This window comes from Homo sapiens, chromosome 10 (genome assembly GCF_000001405.40).
Source record: "Homo sapiens chromosome 10, GRCh38.p14 Primary Assembly".
Taxonomy (NCBI): domain Eukaryota; kingdom Metazoa; phylum Chordata; class Mammalia; order Primates; family Hominidae; genus Homo; species Homo sapiens.
Genome location: NC_000010.11, coordinates 60,154,988 through 60,180,732, shown reverse-complemented (window position 1 = coordinate 60,180,732; position 25,745 = coordinate 60,154,988). Strand labels below are relative to the sequence as shown.

General features: G+C 38.1%; 1 protein-coding gene across 4 annotated transcripts in view; it reads left to right on the top strand.

The window, feature by feature from the left end:
* The window catches only part of ANK3 (ankyrin 3), a 707,231-nt gene that overhangs the window by 552,796 nt on the left and 128,690 nt on the right, over positions 1-25,745 (top strand). For all 4 annotated transcript variants that reach the window (NM_001204403.2, NM_001204404.2, NM_001320874.2 and 1 more), the window contains 5 exons: positions 7,547-7,645; positions 7,735-7,833; positions 8,330-8,425; positions 13,837-13,909; positions 14,080-14,142. In NM_001204403.2, the coding sequence (NP_001191332.1) occupies positions 7,547-7,645; positions 7,735-7,833; positions 8,330-8,425; positions 13,837-13,909; positions 14,080-14,142 (430 nt within the window). The remainder of the gene's footprint in view (positions 1-7,546; positions 7,646-7,734; positions 7,834-8,329; positions 8,426-13,836; positions 13,910-14,079; positions 14,143-25,745) is intronic.

The following is a 25,745-nucleotide window of genomic DNA, read 5'->3' as shown; positions in this document are numbered from 1 at the left end:
ATATAGCTTCACATTAATCACATTTCTTTGAAAATTTTCTTTATATGCTTAATTTTGTTATTTCTTCATATCAGATTTGTGTCATTTGTGTCATCTACTCTAACATGTTTTTTTTTTGGTTTTTTTTTTTTTTTTTTTGAGACGGAGTCTCACTCTGTTACCAGGCTGGAGTGCAGTGGCTTGACCTCGGCTCACTGCAACCTCCACCTCCCACGTTCAAGCAATTCTCCTGCCTCAGCCTCCCGAGTAGCTGGGACTACAGGCATGTGCCACCATGCCCAACTAATTTTTGTATTTTTAGTGGAGACGGGGTTTCACCATGTTAGCCAGGATGGTCTTGATCTCTTCACCTTGTGATCCACATGCCTCGGCCTCCCAAAGTGCTGGGATTACAGGCGTGAGCCCCCGCACCCAGCCACATATGCTTTCTTTCTATATGCCATGTTTGACATGAAAAAGAATGACTACTAAATATTGTGAATAAAATTTTTATATGTAATATAGGCAGGTTCTGAGGTATATGGGCATATTGAAGTAACTAGTAATACAGAAATATTACCCCAAATTAGCCAGATAAAAGGGTATTGACACCAAAATGAGACTGAATTTAGCTTATTTTCTTATGCTGCTTGAATACTTTCATCGGGAAATAATTCTTGACTTTGGAAATTTGCAACTTTATGGTAAATGTCTTCATTCCATACCGCTTTATTCACACACAGAGAGAGAGAGAGACAGACTTAAACACTTTCTTAGGTTCTCTCTCCTTTTTATAGATATAAAACTCTAGAAGGCAAGGTCTGGGTCAAGTTTCTCAACATTTTTCTGCCCCAGCACATCCAAGCCATGCCCTAAAATTCAGCCAGGGAGTATGGTGAGGATTCTTAAGGCCAGGTCGGGGAGGAGAGAAACAAGTACTGTGCTGCCTCCATCTGTTTTCCATTTGCACACACAGCCCCTCGATGTACGAGTCTCAGGACTCCACCACAGTTTCCTTCTAACCCAGCCCAACTCAGGTCCCAGTTGGTAGTCTTTTTTTTTTTTTTTCCTCCAAGAGGGAGTCTCACTCTGTCACTCAAGCTGGAATGTAATGGCTTGCTGCAACCTCCACCTCCCGGATTCAAGCAATCCCACCTCAGCCTCCTGAGTAGCTGGGACTACAGGCACATGCCACCACACCCAGCTAATTTTTGTATTTTTAGCAGAGGCAGGGTATCGCCATGTTGGCCAGGCTGATCTCAAGCTCCTGACCTCAGGTGATCCATCTGCCTTGGCCTCCCAAAATGCTGGGATTACAGGCATGAGCCACCGTTCCCGGCCACGTAGTCATTTTTGTACCCCGTATGATATCTGGCAGCATGTAACCTTTCCTGCCCTTTACAAACGGAGCAGAGCGTCTCACTTCAGAAAGCATCTCTCTGTCCTTTACAAGTTATTTTCCTTTCCTTTCTCTTCTCTGCAAAGGTCACAGCCACCAAAAGGAAGTGAAGCCATGATTGTCCCATAACTAGAGCACAGCAGAAGTGCAGATAGCTGGGTTGCTTGCATTTGCTGCTTAATTTTGTGAATAAGGAATTTGTTGTATCCCAGGAATGTTCACATTCTCACTGGTAAAGAAGACATCCCCAAGCAGCCCACAGGTGGGATGTATACCATTCAACTCATTGGCTTACATGCAAAAATAATTAATAATAATAAAAATATCAAGACCTCTTCTCCCTGATGAGGAGAAGACTAGAAAATCCTGGTAACAGCCTTTGCAGTCCTCTCCCCCCGCACCCCTCCAGTTTGCTGACCCTTTATACCCCACCCCCCTTTTGCATTTGAAGTTCACCAAATGAGTTTAAGCTAAATTGTGCCACAGGGTATAATAATCAGTGTTGTTTGATAGAGATGAAGCCACTGCTTTTGCTTTTCAGAAGGATAATGTCCGGAAGCATTTTATTTAGACCACCCCTGAAAGGCATTGATTCTTAGAGGACACTAATTAGGGATCAGGAGTTACACTGGATTTCTTTAAATGTGTGTAAAAGCATAAAAAGCTTTGAGAACTTATGTGATACTTACCTATTTCACATTTATGTGTAGATTTCCTGCTGGTCACCAAATTCTTACCTGGGAGATATATTCCTTGCCCTCATAGAATTCATAGTTTAGAGAGCAAAACTCATAGTATTATAATAACAAAGTCATCATCATAATAAAATAAAACAATGTATTACCCATTTTCTCTATGCCGGGTACTATTCTAAGTGCTTTTCATTTATTATTTTGTTTAATTCTTACAACTACCCTATGAGGCTGGTAAAATTAGCATCCTCGTCTTACAGATGAGGAAACTGAGGCACAGAAAAAGTAATTACTTGCATAAGGTCCCAAAGCTAATTATTACAAAGCCTGATTTTAACCACAGGTCTATATCTAGAAATATATATATAATTTTAGAGTATTCGGTAATAACTAAGATTTTTGACAAAGGTGGGTAGGATAGAGGAAGCTTGTTCAATATCATGGGAACATGTGAAGAAAAATGGGGATTATGTCTTAAGATGTTGCTAGAAAATTAAGATCTCAGAGGGCCTTAATGTACCAGGCTAAGCTGTCCAGCTTTTTATCCTGTTTGCACTGAGAAGCCACTGAAGGTTTTAAACACAAACGTGATAAGATCAACAATCTGGTTTACAAAGATCCTGGGAAGCAATGCGAAGAATAAGTTGATTTTAAACCTTGCAGCAGGGTCAGTTAGGCTATTGTGAAATCCAAATGAAGAATAAAGAAGGCCTGAACTAAGTGGCAGATGAGACACTGAGAACAAGAGAGAAATTAGAGAGATAATTAAAAGACATACAAACAGCTAAGATTTGAAGACTTTTGGGAGGCCGCGGCGGCCAGATCACGAGGTCAAGAGATCGAGACCATCCTGGCTAACACGGCGAAACCCCGTCTCTACTAAAACAATACAAAGAAATTAGCTGGGCATGGTGGCGGGTGCCTGTAGTCCCAGCTACTCGGGAGGCTGAGGCAGAAGAATGGTGTGAACCCAGGAAGCAGAGCTCGCAGTGAGCCGAGGTCGCACCACTGCACTCCAGCCTGGGCGACAGAGCGAGACTCCATCTCAAACAAAAAAAAAAAAAAAAAAGATTTGAAGACCATGTGTGGTATGGGGACTAAGGAGAAGCAGGAAATTCAGGAGGAAACTAAGGATCTGACCTGTGCAACTGGGTGATCACAAGTACCATTCAATGAGACAGGGAATAAAGGAGAGACAAAGCCAGCTGGGGAAAGAGGACTATGAGTTTCCTATTGGGTGTGTTGAATTGTAGATTACTGGGGGCCAATCAAGTAGGAAAACCCAAGAAATGACTCACATATTGATCTGGACACAGAAAGGATGGCTGGACTAAAGATGCAGATTTCGGAATCATCACAGTCAAGGTATTAGCTGACACTGTGAAAGTAGATATGATCCTCAAGGAAAAGTGTGGCGCAAACCAAAGACAAAACCCTCGGGATCCACTCCATTTTACAGTGGATGGAGGAGGCAAAGGAGGGCTGTCCAAAGGTAGAGGAGAAATCAGGAAAGAATATGATAGGGCTGTCAAATTATGAAAAACTGTCAAGGTGTTTCAGATAAGAGAAGCTCAAAGTCCATGCATGCCATGCATGGCTGGGCACTTGGGATATTAAAAAGCAGTTTTACTAGAGCAGTGGAGATGGTGAAATGTAGGGAGGATGAGCTGGAACAGTGAATGAAGATTATTTTTTTTTCCAAGAAGTTTAGTTTTCAAAGGATAGAAACCTAGAGAAAAGGAGAAATATTTGAAAGGAGTGCTTTTTGTTTCTAAGATGGAAACATAAAAATATGTCTATAAGCTGAGATGAGCATGCCAGAGGAAAGAAAAATGGTTAGCAAAATTACTTGGTTTTTTTTGTTTGTTTGTTTTTGTTTATTTTATTTATTTATTTATTTTTTGAGACGAAGTTTCGCTCTTGTCACTCAGGCTGGAGTGCAGTTGTGTGATCTTGGCTCACTGCAACCTCTACCTCCCGGATTCAGGCGATTCTCCTGCCTCAGCTTCCCAAGTAGCTGGGATTACAGGCACCGCCACGCCTGGCTAATTTTTTGTATTTTTAGTAGAGACAGGGTTTTGCCATACTGGGCAGGCTGATCTCGAGCTCCTGACCTCGGGTGATCCGCCGGCCTCGGCCTCCAAAAGTGCTGGGATTACAGACATGAGCTACTGTGCCTGGCCTGGTTAGCAAAATTATAAGGGGTATCAGAAGCGGAATAGGCTGAGCCAGAGTTAGAAATGACAATTTCTTTTTCTTTCTGGTTTTTTTTTCTTTCTTTTTTTTTTTTTTTTGGGAGACAGAGTCTCTCACTCTGTTGCCCAGGCTGGAGTACATGGGCATGATCATGGCTCACTGCAGCATCAGCTTCCCAGGTTCAAGTGATCCTGCCACCTCAGCCTCCTGAGTAGCTGGGACTACAGACACATGCCACCACGCCCGGCTAATTGTTTTTTGTTTTTTTTTGTTTTTTTTTTTTTTTTGTATTTTTAGCAGAGACAGGGTTTTTGCCATGTTGACCAGGCTGGTCTTGAACTCCTGGCCTCAAGTGATCTGCCCGCCTCAGCCTCCCAAAGTGCTGGGAGTACAGGCGTGAGCCACCACACCCGGCCTGATCTTTTCCTATTTTCAGTCATTAATTTACCAAAGATTTAAAATATTTATTGAGCACTGATGATATGCCAGGCACTGTTTTCAGCACGAGGTAATAATAGCTAACCCTATGTGTCAGACACTGTTGAAATAATTGTTAACAGTTAATCCTTATGACAACACAATGACTTTGGTACTGCTACTAAAGTCCATTTTATAATGCATAAGCCAATGTACAGAGAGGTTCAATAACTTATCCAAATTCACACAGATAGTAAGTAGCAGAGCTGGGTCCCAAACCCAGTCTGCCTCTGAGGCCCGGGCTCCTGGCTGCTGAGCCCCTCCTTCCCCCGTTCTCATCAGTCAGAAGTGCAGTCTTATCAGTGAATGGATGTAAACATCTACTACTTGGTAATCAAGAGAGGAAAAAAGGAAGGAATGCTGTTAAAGACTCGGATGCATTTTGCAGGGTTTTGCTGAGCTCTATCCAGTGTTGCCCAAAGGAAGGAAGGAAAAACCTAATCAGCTTGTAATGATGTTATCAGTGAGGCAGCTATGACAAAGAGGTAGAGGCTGCTCTGTTCCCTGGGCTATGGCTCTTTATTTGTTTGCTTATTTAGCTACTCAAGAAAAAAATAGGGAGTCTTTGAAAAATTTGTTACTGCTGATTGGAAAGAATTGCTCATGTCCCACCTCTCTGAGCGTATTTATGCGAGGTGCTATTTTGTATGGGAATGCTGTTAACCCCGATGAATGGAGGAGCCCACATCTGATTTCTCTGAATGCAAGTTCAATCTTCTTGGCCATGCCCATGTATTTTTGAAAAAACACTTTAGTGTTTGTGTAACAGCAGGAAGACCAGTGTCCTGGAGCACAGCGACCAAGGGAGAGAATTGTGGGAAGACTAAAAGATGTATGGATGGGGGATGAGGAGGATAGGGGAGACTAGAATTAGACAGCTCCTAACACTGTATTATAATGACTTAGGGTTTTAATAAGAATGAGATGGGAAACTATGAGGATGAATAGAACCTGTGCATTAACATATTTAGGCCAGGCATGGTGGTTCACACTTGTAATCCCAGCACTTTGGGAGGCCAAGGCAGGAAGATCACTTGAGCCCAGGAGTTTGAGACCAGCCTAGGCAACATAGTGAGACCTCATCCCTACAAAAAATAGAAAAATTAGCCAGGCGTGGTGGTGCATGCCTGTAGTCACAGCTACTTGAGATAGATTGAGCCCAGGAGGGGAGGCTGCAGTGAGCCATGATCCCATCACTGCACCCCAGCCTGGTGACAGAGCAAGACCCTGTCTCAAATAAATAAATAAACAACCCTGTCTCAACTATATATACCTAATCAACACATCCATCTCAACAACTATTAGAAATGGTTGTATTATAACTTAGGCAAATTGACTAAAATCTCAAAGAATTTTTTAATATTTAGATTTTTAAAAAATATTGGGTCCACGTGGTTTTGACTTGTAAGGGGAAGTTCTTTGAACTTGGAAATAATGTTACTTCAATCAGTTAAACCATTGTACTGAGCACTGATTGGACACATTATTTTCAAGCTTCCCTTATTAAGCAGTATTCTGATCATGGGTGCAGTATCTGAGTTCCTCTGTATTGAAAAGGAGAACCCTGCAAAGCAGGCAAATGGATTCTGGTCACCAAAAAGGAATATCTTCCATCGTGTATTCAGTAGCGTTAGAGGTTGTAAGTCAGTTTCCTATATGTGGTTATGGTGAGCTTTCCAGGGACAGTCTGGTCAGTGTGGGTGCACTGACAGTGTGTTTAGTGAGACAAAGTCTACCAAGAGTCACCGCTCTAGGGCAGCACATCCCTGGTAAGGTATCTTCACCTTCTGCAGTCAACTGTGGTTTGGGCATCTCTTTTTCAAATTCAAATGTATTCATTTGCTGGGGTCACCATAAAGACTCTAGTGCCATCATATAAGATACAGACCCTTGAAAATATGGATCACCCACCCCCATTCCTGTTTAGAAATATTGTGATAAAAGGTCAATGTTCTCCCTTTCAGAGATCTGGTACTGCCTGTGTCATTATGAACAGGGGCTCTGAAATTGCGGGGTAGTATGTTATAATGAACACAGCCATCTAGAGAAGGATCTGGAATATCCTTATTTTAAAGAAAATAATTATCTAGATTGTATACACATACATACACACACATATACACACACAGAGAACTTATAGCCCCTCAGGGGTCAGTGGATACTAATTTGAGAAACAAACCATTTCTTGTCTAAATCAGTGAATCAGTGGTTTTCAAACTCTGGGACTCTAGGTAGGAAGGCAAAAGACTAACTTGATATACCTTGTTCAAGTTCATACTTCTCAGACCACCTGAGCTCTCACCAGCCTCCCTCTTCCTTTTAGTGTTTCTGTGCTTCTTCCTATCTCTATCAGGCATTCTGATAATCACCTCCTGCCATGTGTTATTATTTAGCCACTTCATTTTTGCCTAGATTTAAAGCTTTCAGAAAGTATTCAATAAACAAGTCAAGTCTCCATAAAGTGCTCTTCTGACCCCGAATAAGAAGCCACTGAATCAGTTTGTCTATGCTGTCAGTTGTTCCATCTTTCCTTTGTATCTTGAAAAGTTCTAAGAACAAGATGACCTGATAAAAAATAAAGCACTTTGGGGAGCTAACAATTTTATGGGCAGTGGTATTTTAATTTATACCTAAGTCTTATGCTGAGAATTATCAAGGGCAATTTTTTTAATATAGAGAAGAAAAAAACCTACTTTTGCCAGCTCAAAAAGAAAGGTTAAATAATGATTTTGCTTCTGTTTAGGATAGCTGTTAGTAAAAGTGTAATTATGATGCTTCTTTTTTAAAAAAATAATAATTACAGATGGGATACACACCACTGCATGTGGGCTGCCACTATGGAAATATCAAGATTGTTAATTTCCTGCTCCAGCATTCTGCAAAAGTTAATGCCAAAACAAAGGTAAGCTCCTTCCTTTTTTGTTTCTGCCAGAATCATTTATTTTTGCTTCAAAGGAATTAAGAATCATCTCTTCCATCTTCCTTCTACAGAATGGGTATACGCCATTACATCAAGCAGCACAGCAGGGGCATACGCATATAATAAATGTCTTACTTCAGAACAACGCCTCCCCCAATGAACTCACTGTGGTAAGCGCTCAGGGCCAGCTCAGGAGAAGAGGGAGGAGATAGATGGGCCTGGACTCTGGTGTCTTCTTACGTTTTTCATTGTACTTTCATGAAGAGGCATAAACAGAGCATTCAGTAGAATGAGGAAAGAAGGACAATAACCATATTGTTCTGAGCTGTTCAGAGAGAGAGAGATGATTAGTGTTTTATATGTGAAAACTACCTACTGCATTGTCACCTAGTAGGAAGTACACATGTAAGAAAAAAAAATTGTGTTGGTTTCATTGATTGCTTACTTAGAACGTTAAAAAGCCTCTTGGATTGCATGTGTAGCTGCCCAGACTTTGCTGTACAAACAGGTTAGGTGGGTTTTGTGCAAGGTATGTCTCTAATGAAACACTTATTTGTGTATGACAGTGGGATGGGTCTGATGAGACACTCACCTTACATTTTGTATCAGCAAAAAAAATGTGGAATAAGGCTTGCTAATTCCTCACTCACATTTTCCTTTTGCCAGAATGGGAATACTGCCCTTGGCATTGCCCGGCGCCTCGGCTACATCTCAGTAGTGGACACCCTGAAGATAGTGACCGAAGAGACCATGACCACAACTGTAAGTAAGGAATGCAGAACCTTGTTACCCTAGGAGCCAGCTTTCAGCCAGTTTTCTTGGGTTTTTCTGAGATGAATATTTTTTCCCATTCATAAACTAAGCACCATGTTTTAAAATACAGTCACCTCATTGTTGGTAGTCAGGATAGCAAAACTCTTATTGCTAATATGAATAAAAGTTTAAAACACTAAGAATACCTATTTAAAAGATGCATCTGTAGCTATAGAGTTTTTACTTCCATATACAGCTAAATGTATTTATTTATTTGTTTGCTTTGATATAACAAGTTCTTAATGAAATGATGGTGAAGGCAGAAATTTTTTAACATCCTTCCTTGGCAGCGTAAAGAAAATTGAAAACTCTAAGTTGGTTCCTTAAAAATGTTTTAATGCACAAATGGTACATGGATACATTATCATTCCTGTAAAAAAATGTTTACATTGTTTTAAAAAATTCCAGATGGGATCAGAACTGGTTTTGCCTGCTACTGTCACTCATCTTCTGTCCTATTGGAGTTTTCATAAGAAACACAATAGGCTGTTTTGTTAAAATTTAAAGTGGATCTTTACCAGGAGGCCCTATTGCATCAACTACATTTTTACAAGCTGCAGCCTCTAGGATAAGTCATTTCTTTCCAACCCCATCTGGTACCTTTGAACAGCATTAACATTTGGTAACTTTGGAATTAAAAGCAAATATTACATGATATCAGAGGCTTATTTGAGTTATTCCTGACTCCATGACTCAACACATAGACCTGAGGTTGACTCTTAACAAAGTAAATATAGGACTCTGGAACATTTTGAATTATCAGCTCTGTCCCCTTTTCTCTTCGACCACCTTCCAACATGAAGGAGAAAATGGTTAGCATCTGCAAATTAGTTTGTATACCCACTGCTTTTTGTGAAAAACATGGGTTGAAGGTCTCTGTAACTACCTGCAGTTTGAGTTATCTGGCAGTGTTACTCAATGTATAATTCTTAGTCTTTAGAAACTAAAAAACAAGCCTGCTGATTACGGGAGAAAAATTTTGTAATTTGCAAAAGAGAAAACAGTTGTTTTAATGGAATAGAACAATGATTGTCAAGCAGCACCCATTCCGAACTTCAAGTTATACTTTGTCTAAGAGAGAAATTTCCACATGTTGCTTTCATACACCTCTTGAGGATTTTATTATATTAAAATCTATCATTAAGTTCTCAAAAAAAGTGTTCAAACCAATAATGTTTATTACCTTTAATTTTATATCCCATGTAGCTCTATCTAGGATAGGAAAGGAGAAGAGAACAAACTATTTAACGATAGCCAAGTGTCACAATGCTATAAAGATTTGAAGTCATTGCAGTAAATATATAATATTAATACTTCTATTTCAATGTTAAAAGACTTGAGACATGTAAAAGTTCAAAATACACATCTTATTTGGTTGAATGTAAATGGCTTTCTCACCCATTACAAAATTTCAAAACTTTTCTTCAAAATCAAAAAAAAGCTTTAAGAGAAAGTAGAGTTAAGAACAAAATTAAGTTACAACTTCAAAAAATCAACTGAAAGACAGAGAAGGGTCTCAGAGCTCCATCAGGTTCCCATCAGAAGACAGAATGTGTACAGGAATAGTGCCTTTTCACTCTCAACATCATCAGCTGTCCTTGTTGATGACTTTCTGCAAAAGAGAGAAGACACTATGCATGCTAATTGGAAAGGTCCAGTTTGCCTAGTGAAGAAAATGAGGCTTCCACCAAAAGAAGTGTTCACGTTGATTAAAAAAGAGTCCAGAGAAGTCTCTAAAACTTCGCCCAGCATTGTGGTATTTGGTACATTATCTCAAGCTGAGACACCACCTTGTCAGCCTTGCTTTAGCGGTTACATGTAAACTAGCTTAGACAGGACTGATGTAATTCAGGGTGGAGTCTATGACTTTAAGCTAATAACTCTAGCTCAGCCTCCACCACAGGCATGATATTTGTATAGCTAGTTACTGGGACTCCAGCAGCCATTGACTCTATAAACAGACTTCAGTTTTTCAAAACAAAAAGAGAATGTCTTTTCCATGTGAGTAAAATACATGATGTGGCAATGCTGAGAAAGACGGTTTAGTTAATTAGATTACAATCAAAACAGCATACCAAACTGAATGGATAGAAGCTGATATTCAAAAGATGTGAATTGTATCTATCAAAACTGCATTGTTTAAAATACCCAATTACTTCATATGTAAGGAGCAGAACACCTCTAGCACACAGATATTGGTTGCTAATACTATTTTCTACTAAAAGCAAACAGTGCTCCTTGGAGAAATGGCTGAATCTAAGGATAGCACAGTAAATATATAAGATGAGCCTGGAACATCTTAGAGTGTCAAAAAGTAAGGAAATGCTCCTCCCTCCCCCAACAAAAGTAAATAAACTAATACAGAGGCACAATGGTAGGGGGTATGTTGAAGGGACATATGAATTAACTAAAAGAGTTCCCAATGGCCATAGCTGGAACAATTTGAGCAAAAATAAATAAATATAATAGTCTTGAAGTATAGTGCAAACTGTAAAATAACTATCCATGAATTCATACTATTATACATAAGTAATTCAATAAATGGAAAAGAAGACACAAATTTCTCAGGCAAAAGAATTCCAAATAATGTATGAAAATACTTCACTCTCGAAGTGGAACATAATTCCCCACTGCTTACATGTGGGCTGAACATAGTGATTCCTTTGCAAAGAAAACAGTATGGAAGCAGGGGGAAATAGAGTAACTTTACAATGGAGAAACCTGACAAATACTGCTTCAGACATATGATCAAGATCAACATCAACAATGATAAGTCATGTTGATGGTATTGTACCCTTGATACAATGTGATGAAATGGCACTTTTCCTCTGTGATCTTCCTCCGTAAAACATACAGCCCCAGTCTATTAAAAAAAAAAAAAAAAAAAAAAAACTATGAGACAAGCCCCAGTTGATGGACATATCTGACTAGTATACTGCAAAACTGTCAAGGTCATCAAAAACAAGGAAAGTCAAATGCAAATCAAGACCACAATGAGATACCCTCTCATACCAGTCAGAATGGCAATTATTACAAAGTCAAAAAACAACGGATGCTGGCAAGGCTGTGGAAAAATAGGAATGCTTTTACACTGTTGGTGGGCATGTAAATTAGTTCAACCATCATATAAGACAGTGTGGCAATTCCTCAAAGACCTAGACCCAGAAATATCAGTTGACCCAGCAGTCCCATTACTGAGTATATACCCAAAGGAATGTAAGTTATTCTGTTACAAAGATACATGCATGTGTATGTTCATTGCAGCACTATCCACAATAGCAAAGATGTGAAATCAACCCAAATGCCCATCAATGATAGACTGGATAAAGAAAATGTGGTACATATACACCATGGAATACTGTGCAGTCATAAAAAAGGAATGATATCATGTCCTTTGCAGGGACATGGATGGAGCTGGAAGCTGTTATCCTCAGCAAACTAACGGAGGAACAGAAAACCAAACACCACATGTTCTCACTTACAAGTGGGAGCTGAACAATAAGACCACGTGGACACAGGGAGGGGAAGGACACACACTGGGGCCTGGGGGTGGGGAGGGAGAACATCAGGATAAATAGCTCATGCATGCGAGGCTTAATACCTAGGTGATGGGTTCATAGGTGCAGTAAACCACCATGGCACACATTTGTTTACCTATGTAACAAACCTGCATGTCCTGCACATTTAACCTGGAACTTAAATTAATTTTTTTAAAAAAACAAGGAAAGTCTGAGAAATTGTCACAGCCCAGAGGAACCTAAGGAGACACAACTAAATGTCATACAGTATCCTCGATGGGATCCTGAAACATTAAAAGGCCATTAAGCAGAAACTAAAGAAAAATGAATAAAATATAAACTTTAATAATAATGTATCAATGTTGATTCATTAATTGTGATATTTTCCATGCTAATAAAAGATTTTAATAATAGGCCAGGCGCGGTGGCTCATGCCTGTATTCCCAGCACTTTGGGAGGCTGAGGCAGGTGGATCACCTGAGGTTGGGAGTTCGAGGCCAGCCTGGCCAACGTGGTGAAAACCTGTCTCTACTAAAAATACAAAAATTAGCTGGGCGTGGCCATGCACGTCTGTAATCCCAGCTACTGGGGAGGCTGAGGCAAGAGAATCGCTTGAACCTGGGAGGCAGAGGTTGCAGCAAGCCGAGATTGTGCCACTGCACTCCAGCCTGGGAAACAGAGCGAGACTTGGTCTCAAATAATAATAATACTATCAATGAAGATTTTAATAATAAGGGGAACTTGGTGTGGGGTATATGGGAACTGTCTATACTATCTTCACAATTATTCTATAAATCTCAACCTCTTCTAAAAATAAAAGTTTATTTTTAAAACTGCTCCATTGCAGTATTACATGCTGGAAAAGACATCAAATAATGGTTGATTTCAACACAATAATTGGGGATAGGGGTAGAAATCACATTTACCAAGTATTATCTCTAAGAAACTATGAATTTGTACCTTTTTTTAGTTTTAACAACCTGGCTTTTTTTCAGTTGTCTCATTTAAACGTGTATCTTCCCTTGTACCATTAGTGTCTCATATGCTGAGAATTAAAAAAACAAAACAAAACAAAAAAAAAACTCACTTTTAAACTAAGGTCATTAAGATTTTCTTACCAGTGATGCTAACAGTGTCTTTTGGATGGATATAATCTAAGATTTTCTTACCAGTGATGCTGACAGTGTCTTTTGGGTGGGTATAATCTAAGTTATCAAAGAGAAAGTAAAAGAGGCAGTAGGCATTTGCTGCATAATATACTGTTCTTTAAATTTTGGGGGAGGCTAAAATGATCTGCCAATGCATCACCTTTTAAGTATTTTTTCATACACAATATTGTAAAGATTATTGTTGTAAATATTATTTTAATATTTTGTTTTATCCTATGAATTAAAAGTACATATAAGAGGAGAACACAAAATAGACGGAAAGCTTGGCACAAGTAATAGAGACATATTTCTTGCAGCTCATTTGGCTTCTCTTCAGCCGAGACCTTTCGTGGAATGGGGCGGCAGATTCATCAGACCATGAAAAAGTATAGCAGTGGAGTAGGAGGGGCAGAATCTTCTCTTTTCCTTTGAAAAGCTTTATTAGAGACCTAAATCTTTTAAGCTGTGGTACTTTGCCACTAGAATTCTTTCATTTTGTACTCCTGTGCTTTGTATATGGTGACAACCTTTGTGACACTAAGGGACAACAATTTTGATGTTATTTTATATGTGGGAGATTCAAGATATTCAACACATACATTCCACAAGAAACTGATTAATTCAGAGATAAATGAAAAGACCCATTAAAATGTACAGTCTGCTCACACTAAAATGACTGCTTTTTTGTTACTAGACTGTCACAGAGAAGCACAAAATGAATGTTCCAGAAACGATGAATGAAGTTCTTGATATGTCTGATGATGAAGGTATGAAAATGTTCTTTGAGTTCACAATAATTATAAGTGACTGTGTATTTTGTTTGTTTCCTGAAGAAAGTCCATTGCAAAAATGTTTATCAGGAATATTGAAACGTTTTGTTGTAATATCAAGAGTATGTATTTTTCATCCACTTATATTGTTCACTTCAATCATGCAGTTCGTAAAGCCAATGCCCCTGAAATGCTCAGTGATGGCGAATATATCTCAGATGTTGAAGAAGGTATTTGTAAATTTTTATTGTGATGAAACTTAACTACTACCAACTTTATCTTTCATTTCTTATCTTTGAAATATAATATTTCCTTGAGTTACTAACTTTTCATATTATCTTGAGATTATTAATTTGTGTATTATTTAAATAATGTATATCTGGTACTACTAGCTCTCCTTTTTAAGTCTCTTTGAATCCTCTTTCCTTGAACCTGTTTCCTAACTTTAAAATATAAAAGTGTCACTAATTATCTGGATTACTTGCCTTCTCTTTGTTTCTATCGAACAGAATACTGATGCTTTTATTGTTTGCATCTGAAATCTAGAAAGGGAAAACTGGTTAATGTTTATGATTACAATATTTTTTAAAACAAGCGAAGTTTCCTTATAGGAAATCCTTTTAAATGCCCTGAGATTTGCCCATTCTGCTAAACTTTGTAGAAAAAGCAGCTTTTGATCTTGAAATGATAATGAAAACAACCTGAAAAAAAAAACTTTTGAAATAGAAATTTTCAATAATGATTTAATGAAAGAGATCAAAATATTATTGTAGCTATACTTTATGTGTTTTCAGAAATTGGTTTCTGTTTTGCTTAAAAACCAATACTTTGACCAGGTCATGATATACAGATATATCAATGAATGGCATCTTTAAAAGGTCCATTGGAAAACAAGCATTTTTATAGTGAGTAAATATTGTACTGATGACACATTTTGGAGTGTCACTGTAATAACAAAATATTTACCATGGGAAAATTATATTTAACTGTTTTTCTTGCATCATTTGACTCTCCCAAATGATGGGAGATCATCAAATACAGTCTACCCTATTATGACCTCCATTTGCCACCTGTCATGTAGTAGCTTTCTTTTGGTTAGTCTTAGTGTTGCTAGTCTTTTTTTGCCTTTAAGTAATCTTCCCTATTTTAATTCATATGATTTCTTTCTTTGAGTTGCATGCATTTCATTGGGAACCTAAATAGTGGAAAAGCTTGCCTAGTCTGAAGCCACTTTAATCTTTTCGTTATCCAATCAATGACTTCCCACTATAATGCATTGTGGCCAGGGACTGCACACCCCAGTGAGCTAATGTCCTGCTGGTCATTTAGGGACCTCGGAGGATCTGGCTGAATGTTTGTAAATGCTGTTTTGATAAATGCTAAAGGCTTTTACTCAGTTTTCTTTCTTTTTCTCTGAAACATCTGCTATACATTTACCTCCCTTCTATCCCCAAATGGATAATATTTGTTATCGTCTTTAGGACTTTTAGAATAATATACCTACTGTCATATTATATTTCATTGCCTTCTCATACATTTCAGAGTAACTTCTGTGCAGAAGATAAAAGAAAAAATGATATTCTTACATAGATGTTTACACACACAAAACATGATGTCAAAAGTATGTTTGTCAAATGAAATTATTAGGAATCATGGTATGACAATCATAGACCTAAAAATTTACTGTTCATTAACGAAATATCTAAAATTATCCCCATTGATGAGAGGCCAAGTTTGAATGGACTAACAGCCTTATACATATGGATAACCAAATAATTTCAAAAATGGAGATTTTGAATCTCGAAATTTGAATTTAATTGACCTCGTTACTTAACTAGAAATGTGTTTATCTCAGCTTGGGAATTTGAAATTGGCAATTTTAAATTCTCATTTTATGCATCTTTTCTTTAAAATCTTTGGCCCTTACTTTAATGTGTCCAGGGCTATTGGAATCAAATGGCTTTTAATTTTGTGGTATTGCCGAATTTAATGTTGAAAAGGATTCCTTAAAGGTCACTCAGTCTGAGCAAACATCTGCTGGAATCTCATCTGCTTAGGATCTCCTGTGCCCAAGCCCTTCAAATAATGAGAATTCTTTAATTCCTAAGCTGCATAGTCCATTTGGACAATTCTGTCTTTAAAAATCCTTCATGTTATTGAACTTCCTGTAGCATCTACTCATTGATTCAAGCTTTGGTGTATTTGACCAAGTTGATGGGAAGACTACATTCTATGTAGTATTTTGAACAAAAGCTGCCTTTTCTGTGTGACAATCTTTCAGATATTTAAAAATGCTTTTTCTATTTCTTTTTAGTTTTTTTTTTTTTTCAGGTATATCATTGCTACCTCCTTCTATTGTTCCCCTCAGCAACCTGGTCGCCCTCTCCTGTGCATGTTTCAATATGTCTGTGCCATCTCAAGTTGAGGTGACCAGAACTGAACACAATATTTTTAGTCTCGTCAAAGCAGAGTATAGCAGGACTATTGCATTCTCCATGGAAGATGTTAAAAGTCTATTTTTGAAGATTAAGGTTATAATACACTTTTAATTCAAGTCATATTAGTATTACTGTCTGCTAAGGTCCCTAAATTTTGCTTACAAGAGCTCTAGTAAGCCACATTTGCCCTATTATGTATTTATGTTGTCCTCTGCTGCATAAATTAGCATTTCTAACTACTGCAAATCCCAAAACAAATCATTTTGAAATTTGGATTCTAAAAGGACCCCTACAACTTGAATGATAATTTTAACTTCTGACTCATTTGCCTGATAGTCTTGCCAGAGCTTTGATTGTCATTTTAGTTAGATTTAGTGTTGGCCATTTGAGTAAGCTCCTATGCAGCTGTGGCAAATGTTCATTTCCATGAAGCCATAGGCATGTTGTGAGTATAACTATCTACAAGAACTAGTGAGAGATCATCACATTGGTATCCCCAGACACTAAAGAATAACAGCAGCTTTTAAAAGCAAATAAAAATAATAAGCAATATAGGCTGCCAGTTTGTCTCAAGAAAGAAAATGAAAATGAGTTTGTAATAAGGGAAAATAAAATTTTAATCTGATTCTAAAAATAATCTGCTGTAAGTAGATATTTAAAATTTAAAATAAATAAGATAAAAAATTAAAAAGCAAAAGTAAAATAAATATTAAGGAAGAAATGTCAAGAGTAGTCTCTCTCTTCTTTTTCATTCTCTTTTCCTTTTTCTTCTTTGCTTTCTCCTTATCGTCTTCTCTTTCTTTTGTACACTATGAGAAACTAGTGCAAGTGAAAGAATGTTTGGATTCATTTCTCAAAAAAATAAAAATTAAGGAATACAAGACTAGACAATGTTATCATTTAATAAGGTGGGAGAACAATGGGGCCAAGTTGCAAAGTTGAACACAGGTGGAAGCATCAGCAAAGCAGAGCCGTAGAAGAAGTCAAGCAACTTTGTCCAAGGCAGGGTTTTAAGCTCACATTAGGCAGGTGGGGGCTAAGCAGAGCTCCTCAGAGGGTCAGATGCATTTGTAGATACCTTACTGCTCTACTGTCTCCTGTTCCAGAAAATACCTATGCATATAACATTCATAAAACTTTAATATACGTACAAAACTAGTATCTTGATTGTAGTGCTAGTTTGATTCTTATGTTTTGCAATTCATATTTTGTAATTGAAAATATGAAAGAGTGTGTGTATAGAAGAAAGAAGAGAGAAGGAAGGAAGGAAGGAAGAAGAAAGAGAAAGGAGAGAAAGAAAAAGAGGGAAAATTGAGATTAAGGTTCAAGTGATTGAGTTTGGCGTCTCCTCCCAAGGGATTTTACATTGGCTTTGGTTCAACTCTGATCTTAAATTGCAACTGCCTATAAAATGTATTTTATAAATTGGGGCAGGGGGGTATAAAATGTTATTTTAGCTTGTAGAATTCTAGTGGATTGGAGTGTAGTTACAGATCGAAAGAACTATAGATGGGAGATAATGAGAAGTGGAATTAAGCCATGCAAAGTAAAAATCTAAGAGGCAGCTCTATGAAATATGACTCTACTGAACAGGTTTAGGAGACAGCAGCTGGTGAGGCAAACTCCTGCTAGGAAGAATTTTCTAATTCTAAGCTACTTTCAAATTTGATAGGGCTGAAAAATATCTCTCTGAATCAAATGCAGACATTAAATATTAAAAGAAAAATAAGAGGCTAAGTATACATGTAAAAATAATATCAAGTAGGTATAAGTTTGAGATATAATAAAGCAATAAAATTTTAGCAGATAATAGAGTGACATGAGGGATAAGAAGAATCATGTTCAGCTTCGTGCCAAATTTGGTGGCCAGTGGAAGCCACAGTAAATTAAAATCCACCGATTTCAAAGAACTGAATGGGCAAGTTGGAGTCTTGTAAGTCTATTCCTGCCATTACACTGATGAGGTAGGAAAGCCCAAATACACATTGAATGGTCTTTCCAATGAGGTTTGTGGCAGAGCTGGACAAGAAGACTGGTCTGACACTCTGTAGTTTTAGATCATTTCATTCCCCTGCCCCCAAAGTCTAGTCAAGTAAAGCACTGGGAGTAGAGAAGGAACACATAGATCTGTAACTGGTTGTGATCAATTACTTGCAAACAACACTGCATAGATCATCTCTTTCATTGCTATTCCAACTTGAAATGTTTCTTATATATAGAACCCAAGAATGCATATTTTTAGCTTCAAAAAAAGGAGGTGTGTTAAGGAAAAGGAACAAATCATGTTCTTGGAAACTATCACAAGGTAATAAGAATATTTTAATTTGTAATAATGGATACATAATAATTGTACATATTTATGGGGTATATGTGATATTTTGATACAATTATACAATGTGTAATGATCAAATCAGAGTAATTGGGATATCTATCACCTCAAGCATTGATCATTTCTGTGTGTTTGGAACATTCTGGTTCCACCCTTTTAATTCTTTTGAAATATATTGTTAACTATAAATTATTGTTAACTATAAATTATTGTTAACTATAGTTGCCCTATTGTGCTACCAGATATTAGATCTTATTCCTTCTAGCTAACTGTATTTTTGTGCCAATTAACCATCCCCTCTTTATCCCCGCTCTTTCCAGCCTCCTGAAACCATCATTCTACTTTCTATCTCCATGAGTTCAATTTTTTTTTTCAGTTCCCACATATGAGTGAGAACGTGCTAAATTTATCTTTCTGTGCCTAGCTTACCTCACTTAAGATAATGTCTCCAATTCCATCCATGTTTTTGCAAAAAACACAGAATTTCATTCTTTTCTGTGGCTGAATAATATTTCATTATGTGTATGTACCATATTTTCTTTATCCATTCATCAGCTGATGGACACATAGGTTGATTCCATATCTTGGCTACTGTGAATAGTGCTGCAATAAACAAGGGTGTGCAGATGTCACTTTGAAATACTGATTTTCTTTTTTTTATTTGGATGTATGCCCAGCAGTGGGATTTCTGGATCATATGGTATTCTATTCTTAGTTTTTTGAGGAACCTCCATACTCTTCTCTATAGTAACTGTACTAATTTACATTTCTACCCCATAGCATATGAGGGTTCTCCTTTCTCCATTTTCTGTTAGCACATAGAAATGATACTGATTTTTATATGTTGATTTTGTATCTTGAATTTTACTAAATTTGTTTATCAGTTCTGATAGGTTTTTGGAGGGATCCTTATGTTTTTCTAAATAGAAGATTTTATCATCTGCAAATAAGGATAATTTAACTACTTCTTTTCTAATTTGGATGTCCTTTATTTCTTTCTCATGTCTAATTGCTCTGGCTAGGGCTTCTAGTACTATGTTGAATGAAGGTGATGAAAGTGGGTGTCCTGGTCTTGCTCCAGATCTTAGAGGAAAGGCTTTCAGTTTTTCCCCATTGGGTATGATACTAGCTGTGGGCCTGTTGTTTACAGCTTTTATTGTATTGAGGTATGTTCATTCTATACTACTTTTTTGACCATTAAAGTATATTGAATTTTATTGAATGCTTTTTCAGCATTAATTAAATGATCATATGGATTTGTCCTTTATTCTTTGGATATGATGTATCACATTGATTCATTTGCATATGTTGAACCATCCTTGCATCCCTGGGTGATGAATCCCACTTGATCATGTTGAATGATCTTTCTACTATGTTGTTATATATGGTTTGCTAGTATTCGAAGATTTTTTGCATTTGTGTTCATCAGAAATATTGGCCTCTAGTTTCCTTTTGTGTGTGTGTGTCTTTGTCTGGTTTTGGTATCATGGTAACACTGGCCTCATAGAATGAGTTTGGAAGTGTTCCCTCAAATTTTTGGAATAATATAAGTAGGATTAATAGTAGTTCTTTTTTAAAGTGCTTGGTAGATTTCAGCAGTAAAGCCATCAGGTCCTGGGATTTTCTTTAATGGGTGACTTTTTATTACTACTTATATCTTGTTATTCATTAGTAGTCTATTAAAGTTTTCTATTTCTTCATGATTCAATCTTTGTAGGCTTTATGTGTCTAATAATTTATCCATTTCTGACAGGTTTCCCAATTTATTGGCATATAGTAGTTGCTCATAATAGTCTCTAATGAGCCTTTGAATTTTTGCACTATCAGTTGTAATGTCTCCGTTTTCATCCCTGATCTTATTTATTTGGGTCTTCTCTTTTTTAGTTAGTCTGGTTAAAAGCTTATTGATTACCTTTTCAAAAACCAACTTTTTGTCTTGTTGATCTTTTGTAGTATATTTTTAGTCTCAATTTTTCCTACTCTGATGTTTATTATTTATTTTCTTCTATAAATTTTGAGTTTGGCTTACTTTTGCTTTTCTAATTCTATAAGCTGCCTCATTCAGTTGTTTATTCAAAGTTTCCCTGCTTTTTTGATGTAGGCATTTATTGCTATTAACTGCTCTTTTAGTACTACTTTTGCTGTCTCCCGTAGGTTTTAGTGTGTTGTGTTCCCATTTTCTTTTGTTTCAAGAAATTTTAAAAATTTTCTTTTTAATTTATTCGTTGACATAATGGTCGTTCAGGAGCATATTGTTTAATTTCCATGTGTTTGCATAGTTTCCAAGGTTTCTCTTGCTATTGATTTCTAGTTTTATTCCATCGTGGTCAGAAAAGAGACTTGACATGATTGCAATTTTTTTTTAAATTTTTTGAGACTTGTTTTGTAGTCTAACATGTGGTCTATCCTTGAGAATATTCCATGTGCTAAGGAAATAATGTGTATTTTACAGGTGTTGGATAGAATGTTCTGTGCATGTCTATTAGGGTCATTTGGTCTATGGTAGATTAAGTCCAGTGTTTCTTTGTTGATTTTCTTTCTAGATGATCTGTCCAATGCTGAAAATGGGGTGTTAATGTCCCCACCTATTGTATTGGGGTCTATCTCTCTCTTTACCTCTAATAATTGCTTTATATATACGGGTGCTCCAGCATTTGGTGTGTATATATTTATAATTTATATATCCCCTTGCTGAATTAATTCCTTTATCATTATATAATGACCTTCTTTGTCTCTTTTTGCAGTTTTTATCTTGAAATCTATTTCATCTAAGTATAGCTATTCCTGTTCCTTTTTTGGCCTCTATTTGCATGGAATATCCTTTATTTTAGCCTGTATGTGTCTTTATAGGTAAAGTGAGTTTCTTATAGACAGCATATCGTTCAGTCTTGTTTTTAAATCCATTTGGCCACTCTATGTCTTTTGATTAGAGAATTTAGTCCATTTAAATTCAGCATTATCATTGCTAGGTAAGAACTTACTATGCCATTTTGTTATTTGTTTTCTGATTGTTTTGTTTGTCCTCTCTTCCTTTCTTCCTTCTTGTCTTTCTTTGTATAAAAGTGATTTTTTTTTATTGGCTGGGCACGGTGGCTCATGCCTATAATCCCAAAACTTTGGGAAGCTGAAGCAGGTGGATCACTTGAGGCCAGGAGTTCAAGACCAGCCTGGGCAACATGGTGAAACCCCATCTCTACTAAAAATACAAAAATTAGCTGGGCATGGTGGCATGCATCTGTAGTCCCAGCTACCCAGGAGGCTGAGTTGGGAGAATTGCTTGAACCTGGAAGGCGGAGATTGCAGTGAGCCAAGATAGCACCATTGCTCTCCAGCGTGGGTGACAGAATGAGATTCTGTCTCAAAAAAAAGAAAAAAAGTGCTTTCTCTTGTAGTATGTTTAATTTCTTGCTTTTAATATTTTGTATATCTATTATAGGTTTTTGTGCTTACCATAAGACTTGCAAATAACATCTTATAATCAATTATTTTAAACTGGTGACAATTTCGTTCTGATTGCAAAGAAAAGAAAAACAGGCAAAAAGAAAATGAAATATTCCACACTTTAACTTCATCCTCCCCACTTTTTGACTTTTGTTGCCTCTATTTACATCTTTTTATACTATCTATCTCAAAAGTTGCTCTAGTTATTATTTTTGATAGGTTTCTCTTTTTGTCTTCCTACAAAGGTATGAGTGGTTTGTACACCACAATTACAGTGTTAGGGTAGTCTGTATTTGTCTGTGTACTTACATTTACCAGTGAGTTGTATGCATTTAAATGATTTCTTGTTGCTCATTAATATCCTTTTCTTTCATACTGAAGAACTCCCTTTAGCATTTCTTATAAGATAGGTCTGGTTTTTCATGAAATCTCTCAGCTTTTGTTTGTCTGGGAAAGTATCTTTGCTTCTTTTCTCTCACTGCCTTTAGGATTCTTTCTTTATCCTTGATCTTTGAGAGTTTGATGACTATATACCTTAAGGTAGTCTTATTTGGGTTGAATCTGCTTGTTTTTTGGTTTTCTTATACCTGGATATTCATATCTTACTCTAGGTTTGTAAAGTTCCCTATTATTATTTCTTTGAGTAAATCATCTACCCTGATCTCCCTCCCTCCTTCCCTGCCGCTGCCTCTCTCTCTCTCTCTCTCTCTCTCTCTCTCTCTCTCTTTTTCTCTCTCTCTCTCTGTCTCTCCATTCTCTTTAAGGCCAATAACTTAGATTTGTCCTTTTGAGGTTATTTTCTAGATCTTGTAGGTATGCATCATTCCTTTTTATTTTTTTGTTTTTTCTGCTGTGACTGAATTTTCATAGAGCCTGTTTTCAAGCTCATTAATTCTTTCTTCTGCTTGATCCATTCTGCTATTGAGAAACTGATGCATTTTTAGTTTGTCAATTAAGTTTTTCAACTCCTGAATTTCTGCTTGACTTTTAAAAATTATTTTAATCTCTGTTAAATTTATCTGATAAAATTCTGCTCTTTGTTATCTTAAAGTGCATTGAGCTAGCTTGGGCAACATAGGGAGACTCTGTCTCTATAAAAAATAAAAATAAATTAGCTGGCCATGGTGGCATACACCTGTGATCCCAAGTACTTGCAGTGTTTAAGTGGTATAAACACCTGGGCCCAGAAGGTCAAGACTGCAGTGAGCTGTGATTGCACCACTACACTCCAGCCTGGGCAACAGAGTGAGAACCCCTTTAAAAAAAAAAAAAAAAAAGCCGGGCACAGTGGCTCACGCCTGTAGTCCCAGCACTTTGGGACGCTGAGGCAGGCAGATCACCTGAGGTCAGGAGTTCGAGACCAGCCTGACCAACATGGGGAAACCCTGTCTCTACTAAAAATACAAAATTAGCCAGGCGTGGTGGCACGTGCCTGTAATCCCAGCTACTCAGGAGGCTGAGGCAGGAGAATGGCTTGAACCTGGGAGGCGGAGGTTGCAGTGAGCCGAGATCATGCCACTGCACTCCAGCCTGGGCAACAAGAGTGAAACTCTATCTCGAAAAAAAAAAAAAAGATTCATTGAGCTTCCACAAGACAGCTATTTTGAATTCCGTATCTGAGAGGCCATATATCTCCATCACTCCAGGACTGGTCACTGATGCCTTATTTAGTCCATTTGGTGAGGTAATGTTTTCTTGGATGTCCTTGATGCTTGTAGACATTTGTTGATACCTGGGCATTAAAGAGTTAGGTATTTATTCCAGTCTTCACAGTATAGGCTTGTTTTTAGCCATCCTTTTTGAGAGGACTTTCCAAGAATTCAAAAGGGATTGAGTGTTGTGACCTAAGCCTATGGTCACTGCAGCCATTTCAGCACTAGAGAGTGCCCTAAGCCCCGGAATGCTGCAACTCTTACAGACTCCTTGATACACAGCTTTGGTAGATTTTGGGAAAATAAGGGAGAATTCCCTGGGTTACCAGGTAAAAAGTCTCTCCCACTTCCCTCTCTTTCTGGCAAAGGAAGTCAGTCTCTGCACCAGGCTGCCTGGAGTTGGGGGAGGGATAATGCGGTCACTCTAATGGCCATGACAGCTGGCACTGCACAGGGTCACATGTAAAGCCTTGTAGCCCAGCACAGTGCTGGGGCTCACCCCACGGCTGTAGTCACTACTGCCTGGCTGTCGCTGATGTTTATTCCAAGCCAAAGCCACTCTATTCAGCAGAACGGGGTTTGTCCCATCAGGACATTGGATTCCCTGCTGGTCCAGCGTGGGTCTAGAAACACTGTCCAGAAACAAAGGCATGGAATCAGGAGGTACAGGAGTTTCCCTGGTGCTTTATTTTAGTGTGGCTTAGCTGGTACCCAAGTTACATGACAAAGCCCTCTGTATTCTTCCCTCTCCTTTCTCCAAGTGAAAAGAGTCCCTGAGCTGCACTGCCTGGAATTGGGGGATGAGTGACACAGGCACACCCTTGGCCACCACAGCTGGTGTCACAACTGAAGTCTACCACCTCTGTATTAGTCAGCATTCTCTAGAGGGACAGAACTAATAGGATAGATGTGATATATAAAGGGGAGTCTATTAGGAGAATTGATTCACACAATCACAAGGTAAAGTCTCACAGGCCATCTGCAAGCTGAGGAGCCAGGAAGGCAGTCCGAATCCCAAAACCTCAAAAGTAGGAAAACCAATAGTGCAGCCTTCAGTCTGTGGCCAAAGGCCTGAGAGCCCCTGGCAAATCACTGGTGTAGGTCCAAGAGTCCAAAAGCTGAAGAACTTGGGGTCAGATGTTTGAGGCAGGAAGCATCCAGCATGGGAGAAAGATGGAGGCCAGAAGACTCAGCCAGTCTAGTCCTTTCTGTGTTCTTCTACCTGCTTTTATTCTGGCCTTGCTGGCAGCTGATTAGATGTGCCCATCCAGATGGAGGGTGTGTCTGCCTTTCCAGTCCATTGACTCAAATGTTAATCTCCTTTGGCAACACCCTCACAGACACACCCAGGAACAATACTTTGCATCCTTCAATCCAATCGAATTGACATTCAATATTAACTATCACAACCTCCAAGACCAGGGTAGCACCAGAGCTTGTCCAAGGACTGCACTCCTTGGGTCCTGATTGCTACCTAAATTTATTCTGAGCCTCAAGCCACTTTAGTCAGCCAATGGTGAAGCTGGCTGGGACTCAGTTTCCTCTTGCTGGGGTGGAGGATTCCCCTCTGGCCCAGCACTGTCCTAAATGCTCCTTCCGTGGGCACTGGCAGAATTCTGTCCTGTACTGTGTTCCACTGTGACAGGGCAGTGCTGAGCTCCAATGCAATGTTGCACACTCATTTTGCTCTCTCTTTCCCAGGCCCACAGATTCTTTCTCTATGCTGTGCTGCCTGGGGCTGGGGGAGGGGTGGTGTAGATAATGCAAGACTGTCTTTCTGAGCTTTTCAATGCCTCTATCCTTGATATTACATTAAAATCGGGTATTGTGATTGCTACTTAATTTTTTTGTTATTATGGAAGTGCTTTCTTGCATTGATAGTTGTTCAGTTTGGGGTTCCTGTGAGGGGAAAATCACTGGAGTGTTCTATTCAGCCATCTTTCTCTACCTCTCCTCCCCTTTACAATAATGAT